The sequence below is a fragment of the Homo sapiens genome, chromosome 17, assembly GCF_000001405.40.
Source record: "Homo sapiens chromosome 17, GRCh38.p14 Primary Assembly".
In the NCBI taxonomy this organism is placed as follows: domain Eukaryota; kingdom Metazoa; phylum Chordata; class Mammalia; order Primates; family Hominidae; genus Homo; species Homo sapiens.
The window spans coordinates 68,017,102-68,021,924 of record NC_000017.11 but is presented as its reverse complement, the minus strand read 5'-3'; the positions used below and the strand labels follow the sequence as shown (position 1 = coordinate 68,021,924).

The window sequence follows — 4,823 nt, the reverse complement described above, 5'->3', positions numbered from 1 at the left end:
TTAATACATTTTGTAGGAGTGGTTAACTCCGACTTACAGAATTTCGATTTTCTTTTTTTTTCCCCCTAGACAGAGTCTTGCTCTATCGCCCAGAGTGGAGTGCAGTAGTGCAATCCCGCTTCGCTGCAACCTCTGCCTCCCAGGTTCAAGCGATTCTCCTGCCTCAGCCTCCCCAGTACCTGGGATTACAGGCACGCGCCACCACGGCCCACTAATTTTTGTATTCTTGGTAGAGACGGGGTTTCACCATGTTGGCCGGGCTGGTCTCGAACTCTTGACCTCATAATCCGCCCGCCTCGGCTTCCCAAAGTGCTGGGATTACAGGCGTGAGTCACCGCGCACGGTCCCTTTTTTTTTTTTTTTTTTTTTTGAAAGAGTCTTGCTCTATCACCCAGGCTGCAGTGCAATGGCGAGATCTCGGCTCACTGCAGCCTCCGCCTCCCCGGTTCAAGCGATTCTCCTGCCTCACCCTCCGAAGCAGCTGGGACTACAGGCGCTCGCCACCACGCCCCGGTAATTTTTGCATTTTTAGTAGAGATTAGGGTTCACCTTTTTGGCCAGGCTGGTCTCGAACTTCTGACCTAAAGGGAACCGCCCGTTTGGGCATCTCAAAATGCTGGGATTACAGGCGTGAGCCACCGAGCCCGGCCCAATTTCGATTTTCTTTACCTGGCTTATCTTTTTTTTTTTTTTTTTTTTTGAGACCGTCTTGCTCTGTCGCCCAGGCTGGAGTGCAGTGGCACAATCTCGGTTTACAGCAACCTCCGCCTCCCAGGTTCAAGCGATTCTCCTGCCTCAGTTTCCCTGGTAGCTGGAATTACAGGCGCACGCCACCAAACGCCTGGCTAATTTTTTTGTATTTTTAGTAGAGACAGGGTTTCACCACGTTGGCCAGGCTGGTCTCCAACTCCTGACCTCAAGTGATCCGCCAGCCTCAGCCTCCCAAAGTGCTGGGATTACAGGCAGGAGCCACCACGCCCGGCCGGCTTAGCCATATTTTAAACAGACTTGTGAAGAACAAGTGTTACGTGTCTAAGAAGAAAACGAAATTGTGTATTTGTAAAAATCACAAATGCAGCATCTTTACATGCAACAAACATACAGATAGTGTGCATGGCACCAGAAAGTCTCCAAGTCTTTACTCAAAACTTAACTTCAGGATGTTGGCTGAGGGAAGGGGGAAGCCAAACCCGTACTATTTTGCACTTAGGGACTTTGTTATGTTCATTTTCCCTTTACTCCAGAGGGAAAGAAGAGTCAGGGGGAGGAAAACGGCTGAAGGTGAATGGCCGTAGGGACAAAGGTCAGATTTGAAGTTCTCGTGGGGTGGAAAAGCCTGTTCACCCAGGAGCCCAACAGTTCCCAGCACATAACAGGTTATCACATTAATCTCTGCTGAATAAACGCGGGAAAGAAAGAGAAGACAGGGACAAGAAGGTTGGCGGGAGAGGGAAGCTGCGGGAGGATTTCGCGATCTGCAGTGGCTCCCAACGCCGCCTGCCCTGCAGAGGGTCCCGGGGAGCTTTGTAAAATGAAGACGCCCAGGTCCGCCCCAGTCAACTGAACTAGAATGGGATGGGGCAGGCACTGGAACCTTGTTTAAAATTCCCCAGGTGAGCCCAATGGACAACTGGAGTTAAGAACGCTTGAAGAACCCGACAGGAAGGATAGCACCCAAACCCGGCGGGGTGGATGCCATGCAGTTACCGGGCAGGAGAGCTCGGAGGGTCACGCGCAGGCCCTCCGGGGCCCTTGCGGCCGCTCCGGGCCCATGGCGCAGCGCGCGGGAAGTCCAGGCGGCCGACAGGGACGCAGAAAAGCGCAGGCGCGCGCCGCCGCCGCTGGGGGCGGCTGCCAAATCACTTGCCTCTCGGCGCGAGACCGCGATGCGCGGGGGCGGGAGCGTGATGATGGCATCGCGTAAGGAGAGGGTGTGAGAAGCCGGATCCTGTGGTGACCCAGTGGCCTAATGGATAAGGCATCAGCCTCCGGAGCTGGGGATTGTGGGTTCGAGTCCCATCTGGGTCGCGTGAGATTAGTTTTGGTGGAAGAGAGGGCGATCATTGGACAGTTGATTAAGAGATGGTTCTTGGCAGCTATCGTTATCACAAATAAAGAGGTGCTTTTGAGAGTTTTAAAAACACTGTCAGCGAATGGGTACTAAAATACGGTCAGACCTAGTGTTCGGTAGCACAGTAGGGTAATTATAGCTAACGGTAATTTACTGTATATTTCAAAGTAGCTAGAAGAAAATATTTGAAATGCTCCTAACACAAAGAAATGATCAGTGTTTGAGGTGACAGCTATCCCAGTTACCCTGATTTGATCATTACACATTATACGAATGTAACACAATATCACTTGTTATTCGGGGTGGGGTGGCTCACGCCTGTAATTCCAGCTCTTTAGGAGGCCAAGGCGAGAGAATCACTTGAGTCCGGGAGTTTGAGACCAGCCTGGGCGACATAAGGAGACGACACCACCCCCAACCCCAACCTCCCCAGAAAAAAATTTTAAAATTAGCAGTAAGTTATAATATGATTGGGCCACTGCACTCCAGCCTGGGTAACGGAGCGAGACCCTGTCTCAAAAAACAAAAACAAAAAAATTCAAAATCAATATGAAGTATCAATCTTTAAAAAGAATTTAAAAACCAGGCCATGGCTCATTCCTGTAATCCCAGCACTTCGGGAGGCCGAGGCGTCACCTGAGGTCAGGAGTTCGAGAACAGACTGACCAACTGTTGAAATACTAAATAGAAAAAATTAGCCGGGCGTGGTGGCGCATGCCTGTAGTCCCAACTACTTGGGAGGCTGAGGCAGGAGAATCGCTTGAACCCGCGAGATGGAGGTTGCAGTGAGCCAAGATTGCGCCATTGCACTCAAGCCTGGGCAACAAGAGCGAAACTCTGTCTCAAAAAGAAAAAAAAAAAAAATTAAAAAACCAAAATGGCCGGGCACGGTGGCTCACGCCTGTAATCCCAGCACTTTCGGAGGCCGAGGCAAAAAACACTGTCATTGAGAGCTTGCAAGTGAACACGAAATCTGACCCCTAAAAAGAAATATTTACTTAAAAAAAAAAAATTCTTGGCTGGGCACGGTGGCTCACACCTGTAATCCTAGCACTCTGGAAGGCCGAGGCAGGCGGATCACCCGAGGTCAGAAGTTCAAGACCAGCCTGGCCATGGTGAAACCCCGTCTTTACTAAAAACACAAAAAATTAGCCAGGCGTGGTGGTGCGCGCCTGTAATTCCAGCTACTCGGGAGGCTGAGGCAAGAGAATCGCTTGAACCGGGGAGGCGGAGGTTGCAGTGAGCCGAGATCACGCCATTGCGCTCCAGCCTGGGCAACAAGAACGAAACTCCGTCTCAAAAAAAAAATTCTTTTAGGCCGGCCGCGATGGCTCACAACTGCAATCCCAGCCCTTTGGGAGGCCAAGGCGGGCGGATCACCTGAGGTCAGGAGTTCAAGACCAACCTGGCCAACATGGTGAAATCCTGTCTCTACTAAAAATACAAAAATTAGCCGGGCGTGGTGGCGCATGCCTCTAATCCTAGCTACTCTGGAAGCTGAGGCAGGAGAATCGCTTGAACCCGGAAGCTGGAAGTTGCAGTGAGCCGAGAGCCGAGATGGTGCCATTGCACTCCAGCCTGGGTGACAGAGCCAGACTCCCTCTTAAAAAAATAATAATAATAAAAATAAAAATTTTAAAAAGTGTTTTTCCCCAGCATTATTGAGATATAATTGACAAATAAAAATTGCACACATTGAGGAAGCATTTATTCTTGCTTAACTTATACTGATTTTTAAAAGAAAAAGACCTTAGCAAACACAAACTGGTGACTAGACATGTGGCATCATCTCTTTTTCTGTCTACTTTTTTTTGTGTGTGTGAGACGGAGTCTCGATATTGTAGCCCAGGCTGCAGTGCAATGGCGCGATCTTGGCTCACTGCAACCTCTGTCCCACAGGTTCAAGCGATTCTGCTGCCTCAGCCTTCTGAGTTCTGTCTACTTTTTCAAGCTGAGATTAACAATGGGCAGCCACACTTACAAAACTTTGTCCCTATTCTTATCCCAAGGGACGTGTGAGCAGGTCCAACTGTGCTGGCCTCAGATTTCCAGGACGGTACCAAGGAAAGTTTACAGCAGAGTAACTGTGGAGTTACCCCATACAACTATGATAAACATAATTTATTGTTGCTGTCTTCAAAATATTATGAACAACAAATTGTAATTAGAACAGTTTGTGTGTTTGTGCATATGTGTGTGTGTGAGAGATCTGCAAATTAGTGAAATAAAAAAAACACACAATAATCAGAGTTTAAGCCTTTCAGACCAGTTCAGTTGACTAGCTTGAAAATTTTATTTATTTATTTATTTTTGAGACAGAGTCTTGCTCTTTTGCCTAGGATGGAGTGCGGTGCCATGATGGGGGCTCACTTCAACTCCACCTCCCAGGTTCAAGCGATTCTCATGCCTCAGCCTCCAGAGTAGCCTGAATTACAGGAATGCGCCACGACGCCTGGCTAATTTTTATATTTTTAGTGGAGATGGGGTTTCACCATGTTGCCCAGGCTGGTCTTGCACTCCTGACGTCAGGTGATCCATCCGCCTCAATCTACCAAAGTGCTGAGATTACAGGCATGACCCACTGCACCTGGCCTAGCCTGGACAGTTTAAACTCTTCTTGCACACTTGTACAAAAGGAACATCCACTGAGTTCATCACTACTCTTTAAAAACAACTAAACACTAAATGCAGTGTGGTATCCTGGGTTGAAGTCTGAAACAGAAAAGGATATTAGTGGAAAAAAAGCAGTGGA

General features: G+C 48.7%; 1 non-coding gene across 1 annotated transcript, besides 3 other annotated features; it reads left to right on the top strand.

Moving 5' to 3' along the window:
* Positions 1,465-2,038: an enhancer, noted in NCBI's record as "H3K27ac hESC enhancer chr17:66016003-66016576 (GRCh37/hg19 assembly coordinates)". NCBI's record gives its function as "activates a minimal SCP1, AML or CMV promoter by ChIP-STARR-seq in naive H9 embryonic stem cells {active_cell/tissue: H9 hESC(naive)}" and the evidence as "EXISTENCE:reporter gene assay evidence [ECO:0000049][PMID:30033119]".
* Positions 1,465-2,103: a biological region, named in NCBI's record as "H3K27ac hESC enhancer GRCh37_chr17:66016003-66016576".
* On the top strand, positions 1,956-2,028 carry TRR-CCG2-1 (tRNA-Arg (anticodon CCG) 2-1). The gene has a single exon. It is a non-coding gene; the product is annotated as a tRNA-Arg (tRNA).
* Positions 1,984-2,103: a silencer, noted in NCBI's record as "silent region_8884". NCBI's record gives its function as "represses an Ori minimal core promoter by ATAC-STARR-seq in GM12878 lymphoblastoid cells {active_cell/tissue: GM12878}" and the evidence as "EXISTENCE:reporter gene assay evidence [ECO:0000049][PMID:35858748]".